The 22362-nt window shown below is 35.4% G+C and overlaps 1 protein-coding gene and 1 long non-coding RNA gene across 5 annotated transcripts in view; one reads left to right on the forward strand and one right to left on the reverse strand.

Moving 5' to 3' along the window:
• Positions 1-22362, reverse strand: part of LRP1B (LDL receptor related protein 1B) — a 1899594-nt gene that overhangs the window by 1481082 nt on the left and 396150 nt on the right. The gene's annotated exons all lie outside the window — the stretch shown is intronic.
• Positions 1-22362, forward strand: part of LOC107985779 (uncharacterized) — a 151402-nt gene that overhangs the window by 101057 nt on the left and 27983 nt on the right. Inside the window, exon 2 of one of the 2 annotated variants that reach the window (XR_007087247.1) lies at positions 8487-8669. This is a non-coding gene — a long non-coding RNA (uncharacterized LOC107985779). Of the gene's footprint in view, positions 1-589; positions 8670-22362 lie in introns of those variants that run through there. The other variant, XR_001739132.3, reaches the window with a different exon arrangement.

Genomic DNA, 22362 nt, shown 5'->3' on the forward strand with positions numbered 1-22362 from the left:
CTCCCTTTATATCTCAGTGCTCTGACTTATAAAATGGGCAAAACAATGATATCTATCTCATTGTGATATAATATAGATTAAATCAGACAATGTAAAGTCACAAAACAGAGTTGTTTTCACATACTGAGTGCTCAGTAAACATTAACTATTATTATTATCTGTCCTTTTTTTTCTTTTGTTTTGAGACGGAGTTTCACTCTTGTTGCCCCGGCTAGAGTACAGTGGTGTGATCTTGGCTCACTGCAACCTCCGCCTCCTGGATTCAACTGAATCTCCTGCCTCAGCCTCCCTAGTAGCTAGAATTACAGGTGCCTGCCACCATGCCCAGCTAATTTTTTTTTTTTTTTTTTTTTTTAGTAGAGATGGGGTGTCACCATGTTGGCCAGGCTGGTCTCTAACTCCTGACCTCATGACCTGCCTGCCTCAGCCTCCCAAAGATCTGGGATTACAGGTGTGAGCCACGACGTCCAGCCAATTATTATATATCTTCAAGTATACAAGTACATTAGACAGATATTATCCTAACCTCCATTGAACATGTACAAATAAGTCCTACTGCAAATGTTATTTTAAAATAATTTCATTTTTTTTTTTTTTGAGACAGGGTCTCACTCTGTCAGTGGTCTACCCACCTTGGCCTCCCAAAGTGCTGGGATTAGGGGTGTGAGCCACCATGCCTGGACTTCATTGTGAATTTTTTAAAGGCCTTTCTAAACATCACATAAGATAGAGAAATGAAGGAGTCCTAAAAAGAGGGAGATCTTAATCCAGCTTTTAATTGCTTCTGAATCTTAAGTCCAAAGGCCATTTTGCAAAATAGCCACATCGTCCTTAAGTTTATATGTATTTTAAAATGTAGTTTTAATTCAGTGACAAAGCTATTAATGAAATAAACATGCATTTTATCCAAATGAACACTCCTTTAAATACTTTTCCAAAGTGCATTTGAGGAAACGGTGAGGCTAATGCACAGGCAATGAATATAATATAACATGATAAATGCGGTATCTGTTAAATAGCAATGTAATGCCAGACCAGGTTCAAATTCAATAAAACTTAACTCTAATATACAAAGCTTTTTGTGAGCACTTATTAGTTAAAATGAATTCTTTTATTACCCTAGTAAATTGCCAAATTGTTAGAATAAAGCCACCCAAATAACATTCAAATTTAAATTGAACAATTGAACAGAATGAGATGTCATAATATAAAAACAGAATTAATATATATTTAAAATGCATTATGTATTTTTCTCATATGAGTCATATTATTATGAATCTTTGGAAAATATTTGTAATTACCTCAAGTATTTGTTTCATTCCCTGCTTGAAGATCAGTCAAGTGATCAATTAATGGATCATTCTCAATCACACACCGCGTCTTTTTCCCATCTTAGCATCATAAGCTATAGAGCAATGTTGGCACCCAGATCTGCCAAATGTATTCAGTAATAGTGATTTCCTACCTGATTTGCTGTCTTTTACACTGAGCAGTGATACTTATCAGCTGAGTGCTACAGTCTATTTCCAGTCATTACTTTATGTTTATTCCAGTATCTTTCCTTCTTTTTTTCATCTGCAACTGCCTGTGAACTCATAACATCACCAAAGATTGGAATAAAGTTAGTGGAAAGGGGGTTAAGAAGTAGACTGAAAGCAGCTCACTCTTTAATATGAAAAACTTCAAGTATGTGATTTTGGTTTTCTGGATCTATGTTTAACTCATTATACTTGGAAGCACTAAATGAAATAACATGTGAGAAACTGTTCTTAACAAGCATCTGTCAAATGACTAGATGAGTGGATGTATCAATGAATGCTATTGCTGCTAACCACAACACTCAAAACAAAATGTGTGATGCTGTTTAATTTGCTTCAGCTGTGAATGATGTTTTTTGGTTTTCTCAAAAAAAGTTAACCTTGAAGCAACTTGTCTCTGTAGGCTCTTTTTTTTTTTTCCTATATTTTAAGTATTTTTTTTTTTTTTTTAGGTTTTGGAAGTTCATATTAAAAGGTTCAAATGGCTTTTCCTTTGCAGATTCCTCACTTCCTTTTGATCTGAATGTACCTATTGATTTATAATTTTCTCTCTTCAAAGAAATTTCCAAGTTGTTGCTTCAGGCCTCAGACAAGTTGCTGTAGGCAGAGACTGTTAGAAACGCATGACCTGGCAGGAAGCTGCATTCTGAGCAGGGTTCAGAGTTGGAACAGAGGAAACTTAAGACAACTTTCAGACAGGCCAAGTAGGACAGGGTCCAAATCATCTAGAATGTCAACAAAGAGAGAAAAGCAGGTTTGCTTTTTTCTAAATCAGAATAAGATTAGAAAGATGCAGAATAATGGGATGGGTTCAGATGTACATGGAGAGGGCTGATAAGTTTTGTCTTGTTTTGTTTTATTTAGAGAAACAGCTAGAAGCTCCAACAAGCTTGAATAGAAAAAAAGATAAAGATGTTTTATTATTGTAATGATATGATTATGATTTTTGCTTTATACTAATTTTTTCCAGGCATTCGTTCACCAAAAGCTTCATTGAGATCAATGATATTGGACTAGAATGACCCAAGTTTGGTTCTGAAATCACACTCTCTTTGTAATAGAAACCAAACAAAGTGTACAGGTAGAGTGTTTCAGAGGTATTATTCCTGCTTGACTCAAAATGAACATTAAAGTTAGCAATTTTGCCGGGCGTGGTGACTCATACCTGTAATCCCAGCCCTTTGGGAAGCCAAGGTGGGAAGATCACTTGAGCCCAGGAGTTCGACACCAGCCTGGGCAATATAGTGAGACCCTATCTCTTCAAACAAAAGTCAAAAAATCAGCCTGATGTGGGGGTATGTGCCTGTTGTTCCAGCTACTCAGGAGGCCAAGGTGAGAGGATCACTAGAGCCAGGGAAGTCAAGGCTGCAGTGAGCCCTGATTGTGCCACTGCACTCCAGTCCAGGTGACAGAGCAAGACCCTATCTCAAAATAAATATATTAATAAAGTTAGCAATTTCTGTGGTTTCTTCATTTATAAGAAAACAGCCGGCCAGTTGTGGTGGCTCACACCTGTAATCCCAGCGCTTTGGGAGGCTGAGGCAGCCGGATCACCTGAGGCCAGGAGTTTGAGACCAGCCTGACCAACATGGTGAAACCCCAACTCTACTAAAAATACAAAAATTAGCTGGGCATTGTGGTGGGTGCCTATAATCCCAGCTACTCAGGAGGCTGAGGCAGGAGAATCACTTGAACCTGGGAGGCAGAGGTTGTAGTGAGCCAAGATCGCGTCATTGCACTCCAGCCTGGGTGACAAGAGTGAAACTCCGTCTCAGAAACTAACAAACAAACAAACAAAAATAGCCTACCTCAGTGCAGAAACAAACAAAAACCTAGTAATTGTTTCAAAGACTGTGGTTGCTAAAATAGCATTATGAAAATGTGACAAGTTTACCTTTTTGTATGGGAATATAGGGCTAACTAGGGACTATTTGTTGATAGTCAAAGTCAAGGGACTGGAATTCAGATAGAACACCATATCTTGCCTTTAGCAATGGGGATTTCAGCTAGAATTATATATGGACCCCTCAACCAATGCAGGTAAAGTGTACATCTCTTTCAGGTAGGACACAGCATAATAAAAGATGAGGTTCACAAAGCTCTCTATAACCTTGCAAAAGCCAACTAGCACTTTTTAACACTTCTAACATCACTCTGTCACCAGAGAACAGTGTTTCTGCATTCAGCACAGAAGCTATAAAGGGCATTAGAAACACTCCTTAAAATGTTCAACAGCCACAGCAGCAAAATTGTAGTGCTCAAGTCCTGTAATTTGGAGAATGGGTCTTTTTATACCTTAGCAAGCATTATACTTTATTTCACTTTTGAGAGTCACGGATGCTAGTGTTTTAATGAAAAATTCTTTTGCAAAAGTGACAATATGTATATATATTTTTTTCAGAGGAATGACTCTTTTTTTAGTGCTAGAACTCTAGCATAAATATGATACTTGGTGAGAAATACATCATTTAAAGTAATGACAGAGAAATTTAGGAGGGATAAAGAAGAAAATAAACCATTTAAGTAGCAAAGTTTTAAGTTGCAATTTAAGGTGATCAGCTCACCAAACATGCTCAAAGAAGGCCACTGCTCTGCATATGTTTTTGTCACTTGCAAAAGCTAAAAAAATAAATAAATCTGCTAAAGCCAACAGCTTTGGCGGCCTGCAATCTTTCTATAGCATGCTGTGCTCAGTTATGTTCAGTGACTAAAAGCAATAACGTGTTGATTCTAGACTAATATGTCTAGCTCTGCAATTGATTGTAAGCCACTTTATGAGACACTCTGAAATCTTTCCTGTGTCTACTAGTCTTGATGAGCTCCTTAGCAAAATAAATTAGCAATTTTGAACCTTTTTTTCCATACTTGCCTACTGCCAAGACTTTCTAAATAAACCCTCTGTATTTTCTCCCCCAGCATGATCCACAGGGGGGGGTCGCAATTCAGAGTTGCTCCTGTTTAATTTGGGTTTAGGTGTTGAGGTGCTCATGCAGTTCTCAGCAATATCTTCTCATTTGTACTTGCTTGACCTGATTTGATTCCACTTTTATTTTTCTAAAGCTCAGAGGTATGATATAAATGTCAGTAAAAATTAATCTCTTGCCCAGCACTAACCCAAAAGGACCTTCTCTATTTTAATAGTCCAGAAAGCAATTTTCTCTCAGCAACTAATTTTTAACTATTTATTAACTACATATTAATATGATTCTGTACCAAGACAGCCCTTTTTAATTTGAGTTGCTGAAAAAGTCAAATGTGATGGGTAATACTAGTTTACCTGCATGATTGCTATTATGTCAAATAACTGCTCTTTATACTTGAAAATATGTTTTTCCTCTTAATGCACTTCAAGTTGACCAGTGGTGCTAAATTGACTGATTCAGTGGCAGAACTCCAGTGTTTTCCAAATATCAGGTGCCACACTTAGTGGCAGCATCAGTTCTTGCCACCTTGGCTTGCCAATATAACTCAATGCATCTTTAATGGAAACAACAGTTAAAGCTGATTCAATCTAGGGCTGTTCTTCTGAGACTGTCAATAAAGGAATCTGCTGGTGCTAAATGTCACCTTGGTTTAGGAATAAAGACAGATTTTTCTCTCTGAAAGGAAAAGCAGATCAACGCACTTACCCCAGTCATGGGACATTTGTTCAGTTTGATTTTCTTCTGACCTATCTGTATATCATTAATTAATAAGCAAAAGAATACAGTCTACTGCTGCTATTGAGAATGATACTTTAAATTTTGGAATAAGTAAAGATTTCAAGGACAAGATACAATCATTACTAATGTTAAAACAATAGTGTAAATGATCTTATCTTGCTCCTTCTATGAGACAGAGTAATTTTAGCCACATTAAACAACTATCCAAGTGTAGCTGAGAGTAGAGAAGATGAAAATAAGACAAATAAATGAGGATGAAGGAGGATACACTGACATTTGTAGCCCTCCCAGGGCTTTGCATAGAGAATGGCCACTGTGGCCATGGCTAAAATGTTGCAAAGGAGTTGGTCTGTGCAATTATCAGATCTTGCAAGTCACAAATCCAGCTATGCATTTTTTTCTGGACAGGAGGCAGGGCTTGCCAGAGGAGAGAAAGACTCTTTGCACACAGCTGGAGCTTTTCAGGGTGAAAGCAGAAACATGCTCCATTGACAGCAAACTTATAAACTGTCATGGGGTAGTTTTCTCTCTCTTTCCTCCCTCGACCTCAGACTGATTGGCATTTTTTTCATGACCTACCTGGCTATTCTTTCCCCTTGCCTCACTGCCGTTGGCAATAGCTTAAACCATGTTTGTTAGGTATAAGATCCTCAATCTAATGTGCTCAGCATTGTTCATGGCACTAAATATACATTTTAAAAAGGATGCTTTTGTTTCTCTACCTCCAAACTCATAAAGTCCCCTGGTCCTGGGTTTTGGAATCCATCTAGGAATGACCCTACATGCCTGTAATATTTAAAAAACAAGTGAAGATTTTATTGGTACTCTCAGGTACTTAATGGCATTTATTGAAATATTTTTTGTTCGTCTTCATAGTGAGGGCCAAAACATCTGTATCAACAGTATGAATCATGGACATATGATGTCCAAAATGCTATCATTATGTTTTACGTACTACAGCAATGGTATGAAAGGTTGAGAAATAAAATAAAGAACATCCCGTTAAGCATTTAAAACGTTAGTCTGTGTACACTTAATTTCTAGTAAAGGAACAGAAGACTGGAGTGTGATAAGAACTGAAGAAATATTTCACATCCTGTCAATTAGTTCTAGGAACAGGAATTCAATAATTTGCCTACCTTCGTCAGAAGAAAGTGAGGATAAAAGCAAAAACCAAAAACCAAAAGTTAAAAGGTTAATCTTGTCAATGACTGAAGAGCAAATATTTCTATTATAATGAAAATTCTAAAAATAAGTACTGGGTATTTTGCCTGGGGTTTTAAAGAAATCAAAGCAAATTTAATGCAAGTTTCAAAGTGAGTGTAATAATAAACAGAAATTCTGACTTTCCCCCCCACCAAGATTTTCTTGAGTTTTTATGAGCAGTCTTGTCAGTGAGAAAAATAGACTTGCTGAATATTACCTCAGACAGGCATTACTATCATCTCTAATATTAAATCTAGTGATACAAGGTGTAATTGGAAGAGTTGTATAGTTTTGAAGTCAGTTTAGAAGGAGCACTTTCAACAGTTAACAATCTCAATGCAATCCCATCTATTTATTGCTGTTTCTTGGCATGTTATTCAATAACTTTTAGTTTTAGTTTCTTGAAAGTTCATTTAGCCTTACTGGTTAGTTACTATTTATATCAAGACCAAGACAGAATTGCAATGTAATAGGAAGCTCAGGTAGGTCAGTAAATATGTAATAGGGTTCCAACTCAACAACTAGCTGATTATTAAGTTTTAGATAAGTCATTTTGCTTCTATAAGCTTCATTTTGCCCACTCATAAAAGGTTAATGAGAACTATAACAATATTTGTCAAGCATTTTTATTAATAAATCTCTAATGGTGTAGGAGACTCAAAATGATTTTGGAGGGGAGGAGAAGGGTAAAGACTAGACATAAATAGATAGAATGTATCCACCAACAATGCATTGGATAAAGAAAATGTGGTACATATACCCCATGGAATACTACACAGCTGTAAAAAATGAAGCCATGTCTTTTGTAGCCACATGGATGCACCTGGAGATGATTATAAAATAATTAACACAGGAACAGAAAACCAAATACTGCATATTTTCACTTATGCAAAGGATAACAATTTTCACTTATGCAAAGAGGGTAACCATAGATACTGGGGACTACTAGAGTTGGGGAAAGGTTGAGAAATTAACCATTGAGTAATATGCTCACTACCTAGGTGATGGGATCAATCATACCCCAATCCTCAGCATCATGAAATATACCCATGCAACAAACCTGGACATGTATCCTTGCATCTAAAATAAAAGTTGAAATTGTTTTAAAAGGTATTCATTAAAGAAGCATAAAGAGAGAGATCAATAAATATGCTTTGATATCTTCAAACAAAATTTACATTTTTCTCCATTCACAATATGTTGGTGTATAAAAACAATGTTTGGCATTACCTCTATTAAAAGGAATTGTCATCTATCTGTGCTGAACAGGTCAATTTTAGCAAACCCTGCTGGATTAAAGAAAGCTGTTACTGAAGACTAGAGTGAAGGTCTAGATAATTTCTCTGCTTCTTTTTATAGTTCTTCTAGAACTTTGGTTTACATAAATACATGGATGTAAGTGGCAACAATGTATCTTTTAAAACTTTGTAACATATGTCACTGAGTAGAGATGACCTGAATATATGGTAAAATGAATGGTATAACATTTTCAATATTACTTTTGCTGGCAATTTTAAGTAGTTTATTACTAAGAAATGAGGTTGCTGCTATCCTCATATAGTAGACAGAAAATGTCTCTAATCCATCATCTTGCACCTTTTACAGCTTCAGGAAGTATTTCATCAGAAGACTCTTCAGTATGAAGAGATGACTAACTTTATGTTTTTCCTTATTTTAACATCGTCATTAATTCTAATCACATGTAAATAATAGTGTGATATGATTCATAAAATCCGTGACCTCTTCACCCAGCTCTCAAGCTGCATTTTCATTACAGTCTTTTCATCATCAGAATTTTGGCTTCAAGTTGTTGATTTAGTTGTGATTGTCTTGAAAAGAAAGGTCTACTAAATGAGTCAACTTTTATCACGAACTATAAATGTATTTATTTATCCAACTTTTAAATACAAACAATCCTTTCCCACTAGGAAAGTACTAAATCAACCATGAGTTGGAAGAGTATTTCCAATGCATTTCTACTGGTTGGTAATGCATATCTGTGAACTTAATACTTTAATTATTGCATTAAGATCATTGAAAGATAATCAAGAGGATGTTCTTTTTGACACTTTCCTTCTAGGAGGATGCTTTGGTTGTTCAATCATTCAAGGTATGCACTGGCTGCCATTCATAGAATTTCCCTCTGATAAAACTGTAACAAACCTATTCAATAATACATATGGCATTGAGATATACCCAATAGTCACTCATCCTTCACAAGCAAAGGGGATGCTGAAACTGACTATAAACAAACCTTCATGGGGTAAGTTTCTTGTTGATGTTTTCTATATCATGTTCCTTTATTTAATTCCAATTTGCAAAGTTTTTATTCAAAAGTGTGCTTGACTGGTTTTTGAAATATCCTTAAAAAATCATTTGATGGTGTTATTGCTCTTATATTTTCTTCTTAAAGAAGCATTTGAGTACTCTTATTTCTAGATAAACTGTTGTTGCTTGTATTAATTTGCTAATAGTGGTTGAATTCGTACTATCGACCTCTTACCTGTCAAGCAGATTGTAAAAAGCCCCTGGAAGAAGGTTGTCAAGATATTAGGTTTTTTTGTACTCTACACAATATGTTGCATATTTTCATTGATTTCTACCTAATTTTTAAAAACTTCATAATAGTTTTTAATTCAGATTAATGTATTCCATTTACAATGAAAGTAATTTTTCATCTAAAATAACAAAATTTAGAGAAAAATCTTTAAAACATGACTTTTTGCTATTTTTCTAAGATTAGAGAACTTTGTTCTTCAGGAAGATTAAGCAAAACGATATACTTGTTAAAAATAAATTATGTGGCAAAACTGTTGTGCAAACACTGAACTGATCTGAGATTACCAAGTTTTTCTGGTGCAGAAAATTGTGAAAAATTATTCGTATGGTAGCAAAATACCCTGAACCACCAAAATGTATATGGCCATCTCCTGTATCAACTGCATCCTTTATCCAGACCATTAAAACGACCAAACCAGACCTTTTATTCCCTGATCCAGCAGACCAGAAACAGACCCTAGTAGGTTAAAACCCCATAGAATCTGTTTCTGTGGTTTTACTTGCATTTAAAAATAGTTTCCTCCTCTAATCTTTAGGTAAAACCCAAGTTACTAGAGGATGCTCAAATGTCTTCTGTAGTTTTCCACAAATGCTGGAACATCATGCTTTCTTTAAAAATGGTCTGAGGGCGGGCATGGTGGCTCATGCCTCTAATCTCAGCACTTTGGTAGGCCTAGACAGGTGGACCACCTGATGTCAGGAGTTCGAGGCCAACCTGGCCAACATGGTGAAACCCCATCTCTATTAAAAATACAAAAATTAGGTGGGCATGGTGGTGGGCACCTGTAATCACGGCTGCTCAGGACGCTAAGGCACGAGAATCGCTTGAACCTGGGAGGTGGAGGTTGCAGTGAGCCAAGATGGCGCCACTGCACTACAGCTTGGTTGACAGAGTGAGACTCCATCTTGGGGGGAAAAAATGGTCTGAAGAGTCTCAGTCCCTTCATGCAGAAGGGCCCTGCGGTTAGATATCTTTGGTGCATAATTTAGAGCACATTAGTACAACTAATTTACACTAAGCTGATTGTTATGTGTCTGTGTTAATTTATTGGTGATCTTTCCTATTTTCTATGTAGAATAATAAATGTTTGCTGTAACTGATAAAACTATGTAAATAATGTATTAAGCAAAACTTATTAATTTCCCTCACCTGTCCCTCTCCCATTGCCCACTGTCACATGGCGTCTCTCAAGTTAACCTTTTATTTTTTCACATATTTCTCTCTCTACATATAAGACAGATAGACAGGCAGATAGATACATAGATAGATAGATAGATAGATAGATAGATAGATAGATAGATAGATAGATCAATCTATCACCTGTACAGGAATATGGTTCTGTATTGGTTTTGGTATTATTGGCTTGTTTCTTGTTTAAGTTTTACATCATGGGCTTATTCATCCAAGTAAGCGTATGTGGACCCAATTCCTTTAGTAGCTGTAGCCATGATGCAGATTACCATATTCGTCCAGTCTTACATTGATGAATATTTTGGTGGCTTGCGTGTTTTTGCCAGTATGAATAGTACTGTAATAAACATGGTACATTTATTATTGCCTACTTGCATTTTATTTATATAATAGAGCTGTCACAGTATTGGTCAGAGATTTCACATATTTACAGTTTTATAAGCATTGCCAGCATGCTTTTCAAAATCGTTGTTGACCTTGGCCCTCAGTGCTCTCCCAGTCTGATTTTGAGGGAAAAAAGATTTCATTATTGTTTTAGTTCATATTCCCCTGACAAGGTTGACAGTATCTTTTCATAGGCTTTCTCATATTGTTTCTTTTGTTTTTTTCACTGTGAACTCCCATTAATATTATTTTCTGCTGTTTTATTGAGGTATTTATATCTTAAAAATTCAGTTTATGAGGCTTTAATATAATTTAATATATATTAATTTAATATAGTTGAAAGAAAAGAAAAATTATAGTTGCCTCACATGTTGTACAGATGCAAATTTACTTAATTCTTTGGGTTCATTAGGGTATAGCTATAGAACTGCATAAATAACATTCTTCAGAAAAATATATAAATATTGTTACAACTAAAATGAAGTATTTATTCATAAGCATCAGAGAATGAAGAGAAAAGGCAGGGCATTTATATTTTGAGGTAACTGTATATGTTGCTATCTTTTATATTAAGGGTGACCTTGCCTTTGTTTATTATTTTAAAGATCTTTGTTTCTTAAAAGTATTATTATTTAAATGGCTTGCAGAAAGAGATATTGATAAAAATTGATATAACTCTTCAATTCTTCTGTAGATAAAACTGCATTTTTAAAAATAATTATATTTCATGACCTAGTGTCTCTTCTCAAATTATCATCACCAGGCCATTTCAGAAATGTCGTAAAATATAAGTGAACACTAAAATCAAAAGGAAAAATATATATATATATATTCTTACTCAATCCACTTAAAATTCACCAAAAATGTCAACACTAATCAGGCCAAGTGATGCAATAAGTTTATCTTACTTTGTAATGTTTCCAGTTATGGCTAATCCTCATTTTTCCCAGAAAGGGAAAACGATAAAGTTAAATGATTACTGGAAAGATTTAGTATTGATAAGACCTGTACCAGATAAGAAAGAAAATAAATAGTCTGTACCTTGATGACTCAATCAGATTTTGCAAATTGACTTAAACTTCAAATTACTCCCCAGTAGCATCATTCATGAGATTTGTTTATGAAATTAGTGTATATTTTCAAATGTTTTTTCTTAGCTCATAGATATATACAAGCAGAAAACAAACTACATATAAGGATTCATGTAAGTTGGTGATAAAATTACCTCATCTTATTTGGAAACAGAATCTCTTCTAATTAAATTATTTTCTGCAAGGTTTGATTTGGTGTAATTCCTACCACCATGTAGCTGCTGGTAAAAGAGGGCAAACAAAAATTCATGAATTGAATTTTTAAGTATGAAAGGGATGTGGAACTTAGAACACCAAAAATCAAAATAAATGAAAGTCTTCATTTCTTCGTAATGCTATATTTCTTCAACATTTATCTAGTGCCTGTTCTGTGCCAGGGGAGACCAATTATTACAATACAGATGATATCTAAAACTCATAGAGATACTCTACGCCAGGCAAATTTTAACCAAAGTTAAATCTGACCTTTAAGACTAATAACATAAGGCTGATGCTCTTTGCTCTGCAGCTGTGGGAAAATTGACTATCAGTGTTTTTGTTTGTTTTGTTTTCATTTAAACCATTAAATGGTGACAAGGTGGGGAGAAGGAAAGTAAAAATGATAACGAGAAGGAAAGAATTCCAGTTATTCTACATTGACTATTTTGTGTTCATCAGAACAATAATCTTATCTGCAAAATAATCTGTTTTGAAAATTATGCATTTGTATTCCACATTCTGAAGTGCCCTTATTTTCAATTAAAATTACATTAAGTTACATTAAAATCTAAAACTTACTAAGTAATTTTAAATTAATTATATTTCTAACCAATATTGGTGAATAATTCACAGGTATAGAAACTGCCCTTCCCAATCCCGCCTTTTATGTCTCCTGGTCATTAGGTATAGCAATTAAAATTAAGTTAAATTTAGTGTAAGAAAAATATAATTATAAGGGCAATATGGCACAAGTATCACATAGTTCATTCCTAAGTTAAATATATGTAATTGGGAATTTTTGAACTTTGTAAGGTGTATTTTACTTGCATTAGTATAGATATGTGAGTTGAGACTGCTCATCAAAACAAAAAGCTCAAATTCCATGATATTCTATCTTACCACATTTTTTATGAGATTAAATGTAATTTTTAAAGTAAACTATAAATAAACCTTTCAAAAATAAACTCGACTTCTTCAAATTTGAGGAGAAATCTTGTGAATTTCCAGGTCATTGTATCAATAATTTGTCCAAGTAGTAATCAAGTGTTATCAAGTGTGAAATGCTCACTGATTAAAAGGTCATCAGAGATCAAAATGGTAGATGTTTCAGAAGTGTCATTGATCAAGAGAAAGTTTTCATCAAATGTTGTTAAAATGTAGTGACTTATTAAAGTTGCAACAAGTAATAATAATAAAATATTTTGAATTTTATTAGTCGTTGTGGGTATTTTGCAATTTGGGAAGGATTTTTTAAAAATCAGTCTTTTGAATACATATAGGAATACATAAATAAATTAAAATTTTAAAAAGAATACAAGTAGTCTTTTTGGTTGGCACAATATAGCAAATGATTTAGAATGGATTTTCTCTTTGAAATCGTTATTTTACTTTGAAGAATTTAGTCTACGGGCTAAGAGGATGTAGCTGAGAGAACACAGGGCTTTGCATCAGTGTACCTGGTTCTGAATTCTAACTACTCTAGTTTTTAGATATTTGGCATTGATAATTTTGAAAAAAAAAATCTGTTTTTAAAAATCTGTAATATGTTTCCACCCTGTAATAAGAAGGCAATAATTTCTACTTTGCAAATTGAGAAACATATGTAAAATAAGGTATTTGTATGTCAATTGGCTGGCATATAACAGATGCTCAATAAAAACAACTCATTACTCTTTTGTATACGGATTAAGATTCCTTTAAAATTTATTATAAAAAATGTGATTTTTTTAAAAGAAAAAATTAGAAAATACAAATTATTTAAGTATGACTTCTGTACAATAGAATATTATATAGGCATTAAAAGTCATGTAATAATAAATGGCATGAAAATATATTCATAATATATTTTTAGGTAAATAATTATATAAAATATATGTATAGTACAATCCCATCATCATAAAAAATTTATAAACATATACATATACTTGACAAGATTTGAACCAAAAAATGTTAATTATTATAATCTCTGGGTAAGAGGTAATTTTAAAAAAAAATTATTTTGATTTTCCAAATTATAATTTAAACATATATAATTTTTTCTAACAAGAAAACATAATAAATTTTATTCTTTCTAAAATCGGGCTTCTGAAATGTCATTTCCTACAATGTGCATTCTAGGGGGCATAACAGTTGGTTAATTTGGAAATACTATTTATTATTCTTGAAGTTATAGTGAATTGGGGTAACATGTGAAGCCAAACATTGTAATCCATTTTAAAGATTATTAAAAGAGCAAGACTGGAAATTACTCCCCAGTAACATCAATCCTTGGTATATTAATATAAGTTAGACAGAAGAATTTGTAACTATCCAGAGAGTACTGGAATCAAAAGCAATAAAGTCTGGTGGCTTATAAAAAATAAACCCAACCAGTCAAATTCAATAGATTATTTCCCCCAGTGGAATAACAGTATTATCAGATTACAAGAACAATGTTAAACAAAGCATGTGATGGGATAACTTATAAAGTTTGTTCATAGAATTGATTCAAAGTTGAAGTGGATGCAATCTGCTGCCTGACAAATTGAAGATGAAGAGTAATAATCCTTGAAAGGATTTTGAAGGATGAGCAGGTATTTGGTAAAACTAGCATGTATTCTAATTTAGAATACTCTGATTTTACATCTGGTTTGTGATCTAGAATTGGGTAATAACTAGTTCATTTTAAAAAGAAAAAAGTATACTAATTTGAAAATCCTTATAACTGACACAGGAAAAAAAAATTACCCATGCAAAGCCACTAATGTAAGGAGATTATTTAATGGGCTAAAATTTGTTATTTTGAAGAAGAAACAAGGAAAAGAGATCTTGAGGGGAAAAAATCTTAGCTATTCTTTAGAGAAAAGTAATAGCAGATAATAGGTTAAGTACCTTAAGAACCACACCTATATGGGCCCATCAATCCTCAGAGAGGCCCTGTGGGTTATATCTCTCCATTTCACAGATGACGACCTTGGAGAACAGAAACATATTAAATAATTGCCCCAAGGTCACGCATTAAGAGGCAGAGCCAAAATCTGGTTTACCTGGAATGCTTTCCTTACATCAGATTTCTATAACTTTTCACACTGTGCTGCAGCAATATGACACAGGTTGGCAGTCTGACTCACTATCCAACCTGCCCACTACTTCTCCAGTACAATTTAGAAGCCAAATTGATTGGGACAGCATGATTTAAGGAGTCTGACATTGAATTTGGATTTCAATCCTGGTTATCCCACATTCAAGATATGTGACCTTGGTCTAGCCATTTAATTGAAATCTGGTCTTAGTTATCATGTCCTTAAAATAAAGAGAATGGAATAAATTCTACTATTCTTTCCAAGTCTAATAGATGACCCTTGCCTCACAGCCAATATTCATATATCTTTAAGCAGCTTTTGAAATGTGTCATGAGAGTTCTGGGAAAGGTTTAAAAAGCAACATATATATTTTATATGTGTGTATATATATAAAATCTATCTATATATCAATCTCTCTATATATATATACACACACATATATATATCTCACAGAGTATCTCCTCAAGTTGTGCAAAAACTTCCAAGTTACCATAGTAAGAGAGGACCAAAGAGGAGGAGGATTCTGTTGTGTTTTGTTTTTGTTGTTCTTTTGTTTTTGGTAAGCGCTTTCTTATTCTGAAACATCTACTATGTGATTTTTTTCCCCAAAGGACAGTACTTTTAGCGCTATAATGAGGGGGAAAGAGAAGCCCGTATTTCAGAGAGTAGCAGTATTTTTCATGAGGTGTAACAGCTACTGAGGGTGAAATGTTCCGCTGGAGAGAAAATAAGGAAGAGGAACTTGCAAAGAAGAGTGTAGAGAGAAAGGAGAGAAGAACTTGCAAAGCAAAGGTCACCTCAGTTCTCTAGCACCTCTCTGCATAGTATTCTGTTCAAGTTTAAGATTCTCACTCATTCTTCAAAAGGGCTTGAGTATGAGGCGTAGCTGACATAAATGCCTGGCCCTCTTTCTTTGTTGTGAGGAGTGACAATCCCAGAGCAGCCGTGCCTCCCTTGGGCATGATCTCGCCCTCCAACTGTGAGCCCTGACTTCAATCAGGGGCCTCCACAAGCTCCTAATAAAGGAAGAGAGAGTCTAGGGAATGATTCCTTTCTATTTTACTTTTTTTTAATGCAAGTACAAATCCAGGGCTTTGAGGAAGAATAAAATGCAAGTTAAGCTAATTGTTCCTGTTGCTGTAAAGTTACAAAAAACTGTAGACTGAATCACCACGGGAATAAGTCAGAGAGATCCACAGACTTATTCCTGAAATTTGACTTTTGCATCCACTGGCTATTCGGAAGCTCATTTGACTGTAGCAATGTAATACTTTGGGCCTCCTAGTAGCATCACTATTAAAAAGCCATTCCTGGTCAGCACACTAAATTCACATTTCAAATATTATAGACATGCTGATAAGTGTTGCTTCCCTTTATTCTGGAAAGACTCATACTCCCATATGCTGTGACGAAAACAACATCATTGATTGACTCTATCCGCTCTCACACGTGATGTTTGGCTTAACAAATGTTTTTCTTGCATCTATTCCTTTAAGAAATCAGTTCTCTTCCTGTCTCCCTTCTGTCTGAATTTGCTAGGTGGAGAGGGGGGTGCCAGGAGTGCTGTGTCTGCCAACAGGTGGCCAGACACTAGATCAGTCTCTCTCAATCAGCAAGTCCCCATCTGCTAGTTGGAGTCTCCATGTGTTCATTCCGCTTATTACAGCAGCTGAGCCTCAAACTGGGTTCTTTGTGGGCTTCAGGCAGATGCTTAACAAGGTGAGCCAAAGGGAGCCTGGCCATTAGGAGCTGTGTTAAGACTGCCTCAGCTGGAACCTGTTTTTACCATGTTTTTCAAGTGCTTACCTACAGCTTCCCCTGACAGCTTTACCACAGGACTTCCTTGGGGGCATCAGCCAGACACAGTGATACTTGAAACTTCAAACAAAAATGCTTATGCTATGCTATTCTTTTTTTTTAGTCTTTGGACGTTATTTTGAATTCAAAAATGTTTTAGTAATTATCAACATCCTGGCTTAGGTATTACTGGTTTTGAAGAAGGGTCTTAGCAGGCAGACTTTAAAGATTATCACATTTTACCAAGGAGAGCCAATTTAAGTTCTGTGAGCTATTGTATGAAGAGCTAAAATCAGAAATTATACATCAGGGGGTTAGACTGTACATTAGTGGAAGTACAACCCAGGATGTGCTACATATTGGCTAACAATATCATTTTCAAGGAAGTCTGATGGACAAGACGGTTTAAGGAAGAGAAATCCACATTTTGTAAAGGGCTTGGTGCAGGCTAGCCTGTGCCAACCAATAAAATAATGATCTAAATTGCTTTCATCTTTTATCTCAGGTTCAGACATTTTCCTAAAATGGATTTACATTTTTAAAATGCTCTTTGAACATATTTTATTGCTTTCATTTTCTATTCCTATTCTGTTCACATTTGAGTAGTACTGTAGGTGGAGTAAAACAGTGGGGTGAAGAACCCATTTCTATAGAAAATAATCCTTAGAAATTCTTTACATGGGATCTGATAGAGCAAGAGTCTGATAACCTGCAAAGAGCTGAATGGGCCCAAGTTGTGTTATTTCACAGAATAAGCAGAAAGGTCTGGTTGAGAGTGTGCATTAAATCAAAGCATTTTTATTTATTTGAGGTTGGAAGTCTGTTGAAGCCCCCCAACAGACACAAAGGCAAAACTGTCTCACGGAACTGTGGGCGAGCATTTGAAAAACATGTGAAGATCAATTTCCAGCTGAGTCAATTTTTGTCAAACATCATGTGGCTTAGCCAGTTTTGGCTTTCGTAGTAGAAGCTGAAGCCCACAGAGTCCAGCCTCAGTCTCAGCCACCATACTGTGCAAGAGACGGAGAAGAGGGAGTCTGGTCTCCAAATGGAACAGTCTTTTAATTGGCTGAGTGTGGACCAGGGTTTGGGCACAGAATGTCAGGCACATCCTCGCTGTCATCATCATTACTGATTCAAACTGCATTGAGGAGTACTGAGGAGCTGCCAAGAGAAGAAGCTGAGACGTCCACAGATTTGAATCACATCTGAACACCAGGGAGAAAAAGGAAAAAAAGAGCTTTGCTTGATAAACTACTGGAAAATGCTACTTTAACCCATTGAATGCCATGATACGTGCTTACTTGTCTACATTTGAAGGCTACCCCTTTTTGAATTTCTTGTCCAAGTCAGATGTTTCTGGCATTCTTGTTGTCCCTCCATCTCCAGCTACCTATTATACTAGTTGAAAATCAGTTTTTATGGGCACAATTTATGCCTGAAAATGATATTACTAATTGTAGTATTTATGAGTCAGAGGAAACGTTTGTTTCATTATTAAGGGTGATAAAAAAAGCTTGCCTAAATTATGCAGTTTTTTGATTCAGAAGGTTATCCTCAGAAATCATTGTACTCATAGATGGCTGCCTACACCCTGTGATCTAAGCTGAAATCCATACTCCCCACCCTGAATACTAAGCTTCATATTCTTCACTGGACAGAAGTGGTTTATTTGGGGAACCCCACAGTTTCCTGTGTATAAAGACTCCTTTTTGGCATGTAAATACTCCTAAAGGGGCCAGTCTTTACGTTATCATCTAATAGCCAATCCGGAATTACGAAACAATAACTTCAAGGCAAGAACCAGGTATAGTGTGGTGACTCCCAACGGGGGGTGTGGGGAGAAATGTGGTTGGGAACAGGAGATTATGGCACAGATTGGAAAAGTGGGAGGCTGCCCCAAACAAAGACCATTTGCTAAGGGTCCTCCTTTATTTTCATAATACAGAACATGGTATCATTGGGTTATGTATGCAGTGGTTTTTAAACAAGAGAGGACTTCAATGTTACCTGGAGCATGGCCCCCAAATTAAAATTTCCCGGGCCCTATCCCACACTGACTCGGAATTTCCAGGCACAGTGTCTGGGCCTGCTTGAATCTTTTGAAAATGCCTTCAGAAGGCTCAGAGACACATTTGCGGGTAAGGATAAGGGTTACAGCTGCTGGCTTAGGCCCTGTCTGAGAATCTCCTATGTCCTCCGTGGCTCTCCATGATTCCTGTTCCACTTGTCTTTTAATTAGATGTAAAAATTGAAGATGCAGGTAAAAGTTACCTCCATTTATTGCTCCATTGTTTGCCTTCATATTTTTCCGAGTCAGCGTATAAAGCCACATATTTTTTTCCTAAAGCTCAGAGGAAAAGAGAAGCTTTGTCTTACACTTTCACAGCAGCCAGGCCCATTACTTCTTTGTTCGGAAGCACATGCTATTTCACAGCCTTTCCAGCATTACATTCTGGTTTCCAGCCTCTCGAGCTAGACTATCCAGTTCAAAGCCAGACTCCACCATCTACCAACTTCATGACCTTGGAGAAAATTACTTAACTCTTCTGTATCTTGCTTTCCTTATCTATGAAATGTGGACACTAACCTCATTAGGTTGTTGTAGGGAAGGGTTATTACACACATAAAGATCTTAAGTTGGTGTCTGCCCACACTACTGTTTTTCTCACTGCACTCTTCAATGTAGATGGTGACTTTCCTATGGCATTTGAGAAGGTTGTCTATTTCCCTTTTGAAGGATTCTCTATTCCTCTAATTCATATGACACCACTCTATCCCAGCTCATCTCCCATCTTTCTCAGTATCTATTCCCAATGTTTTTGGAGGGAAGGGTTCTCCGCCTCCATTCACCCATCCAATATGGTATTTTTCAAGGTAACCTCATCAACTACCTAAATGGTAATGACCTTCTCATATCACCTGAATTTCAGAGGCAACTATCCATCTTACTAAGGAACGTCTGAAATTTTTATTCTTTCTGCTAACCCTGCTTCTATCCTGTATTTCAGTAAATAGTTGGTAGCTACAACGTTGGGGAATTACTACGAAATTATGATTTAAAAAAATCTGTAACTGTTCCCTCTGGAGTAGATAGTAGGACATAGAAATCACCCAGATTCCTAAAATATAATATATCTGCATTTATGAAAATAGTTTTTTTCCATTTTTTTTTAAATGTGGGAGAGACATGCTTCTAGTTCATTTAACACAGTAACAAGTCCATTACATGATGCTAAAATTACGGTGGACAAATTTTCATCTGATTCATCAAAAGTCTGGTTTCACCAACCCTTCGTCTTTCTGTAGGCTGGAGTATTTTTGGACAAATGCTGTTTAAACATCATCAACTGAGGTTTTATATTTAGTTCAAGTAGCTTACCCCTATAACTAATTTCTGCTTGCAGTCGATCCGCAGAAATATCAGTAAGAAACACACACACAGATTTCACCAGAAAATGATCGTGAGTAGCTTGGTAGAATTTGAAGAGGAAGGAAGAAAGATAGCCATAGAATTTTCCTCAGAAATTTTAAAATAAGGCACCCATTATTATGAGGCAGAAAATATTATACCCCTTGTAGCAGAAATGTATAAAATCATCTTAAACCGCATAGACTATAAGTTTAGTTGTAACTTGATTGACTACGGAAGTAACTAAAGAAAATAATTTGTCAATTATAAAATAGATTGAGAAGCAAAGGAAGCAGAGGAAAAATGGAAAAATGTCAAAGTGAGGAATCTTGGCATCACTGATCACATACTATTCAAAAAAGCAGAGCCTCAGCAGGCAGCCTAGAATATTTTATATTCTAGTTCCAATGGCAAAGCTGTGCCTAATGTGAGGATCAATGGTGGGGTTCTAGCCAAGGGCTTTAAGTATTCTGATACCTTTGGCAAGACCAACCCTATCAAAGATGGTTGTATCAGGCTATGTTTGCCTGAAGCTATTAAACATTCTATTATTTTAGTTCCACTTATTCTAATTCCAGATCAATAGTCTGATTTTCATTTGTGTTTTCTTCTATGGCAAGAGAATGATTTGGTCATGATACCACAAGGTTCCAGTTGCCTGAATTAAATCTTTTGTTTTGAATTAATGTTTGAATTACGATTGGTCTTCCTGTAAGTGTGTGCCCACAGAGAAATGCACCAATCCTGTAGACTTTCATTATGCATCACAAAACTATCACTCTGATACACTGGATAAACTTCGCTCGGGTTTAGCATCTCTCACCTGACTATTATAGCCTTCCAGCTTCTTGTCTGTGGTCTTACATCCTTTAATCCATCATCCACAATGCTTTCAGATGACCTTCATATGCAAATCTTGTCATTTTATGTACTTGCTTAAATTCCTTTAATGTCTCCCCGCTGCCTACAGAATAAAGTTTAAATTGCTTAGCTGGGCTCAAGGCTCTTCCTGATCCATCTATTGCTTACGTTTTCAGTTTTATCTATTGAGATAATGCCCACATCATCATAGTTGTCTTACATGGAGGTCCTCAAATAGATTCTGCTTTTCACAACTCCATGCTTTGAGAGTACGGTTCCTACTGCTAGAATTGGCCTTCCTTCTTTTCTGCCTGCCTAAAATCAAATCAGTGTTCTAGTCTTATTGTGATAGTTCAGACTACTATCAAGTGTTTCTTGAATATACCACTATAAGAATATTAGTTTTTCCACTTCTGTGATGTATGTACATAATTATTATAGAACCTATAATGTTTAATTGCACTTATTACTGTATATACCTGCCTTTATTAGACTATAATCTCACTGAGTTTAGTGACTATGTCTTCTTCATCTTTATAGTCTCATACCTATCATAATATTTGGTCTATGATAGGCACTTAGTATTTGTTGACTGATTAAATAACTAAGGTGGTTGGCAATTAGATCTTGAAATTAAAAAAAATTAACCTTTATTAAGTGCTTACTATAAGCCAAGGGCAACACTGAATCCATTGTAATTAATTGACGAATTAATCTCTAGATTATCTTGGAGGAGAATAGAGGGGGAAAATAAGTGCAGTGAATAAAAATTCTAATAATATAATCAACTTTGGAAATCTAGTAAACTGAAATAAACACTAACAAGAATAGCAATAAATTTAATTAAGTGAAATCAATGTTTAAGCTATATAAATTGTTCAGATTCATGATTCTGTAATTAGCAGTTATGTTTATCTTATCACCACTAAAGAATCTCTTTCCATATAAATAATATTTAAAACATTCTATGAAAAACACACAGGGAGAGATAGAGAGAGAGAGTGAGAGAGAGAATGAGAGAGTGAGAGCAAAACAAAAAGATGTTTAAGAAAAACCATTAAAAGTGAATTTCTTTTGTCAATATGCTCTAGCCTGGCAATTATTTTTAATAAAATCATAATTTTTTAAATGACATTAAGTTTTCTTTTGGTTTCTGCGCATTTGTATGTAAGTTTCAGTTCTCCTATTTTTTAAAATAATTTTTAAGGGCCTCTCTGCCTGTCTCCTTGGCATTATGAATGCTCCTGAGAGCACTTTGGATGATAAGAAGTGCTGCAAACTGCAGGTGAATGGGCCTTAGAATTGCACAAACAGCAAATGAAAGCATTTTATAATAACAAAGATAGAGACCAGGGAGTCCTTATGAATATGTTATTAAGCACCTGCACTCTAGTTCTTCA

This window comes from Homo sapiens, chromosome 2 (genome assembly GCF_000001405.40).
Source record: "Homo sapiens chromosome 2, GRCh38.p14 Primary Assembly".
Lineage (NCBI taxonomy): Eukaryota > Metazoa > Chordata > Mammalia > Primates > Hominidae > Homo > Homo sapiens.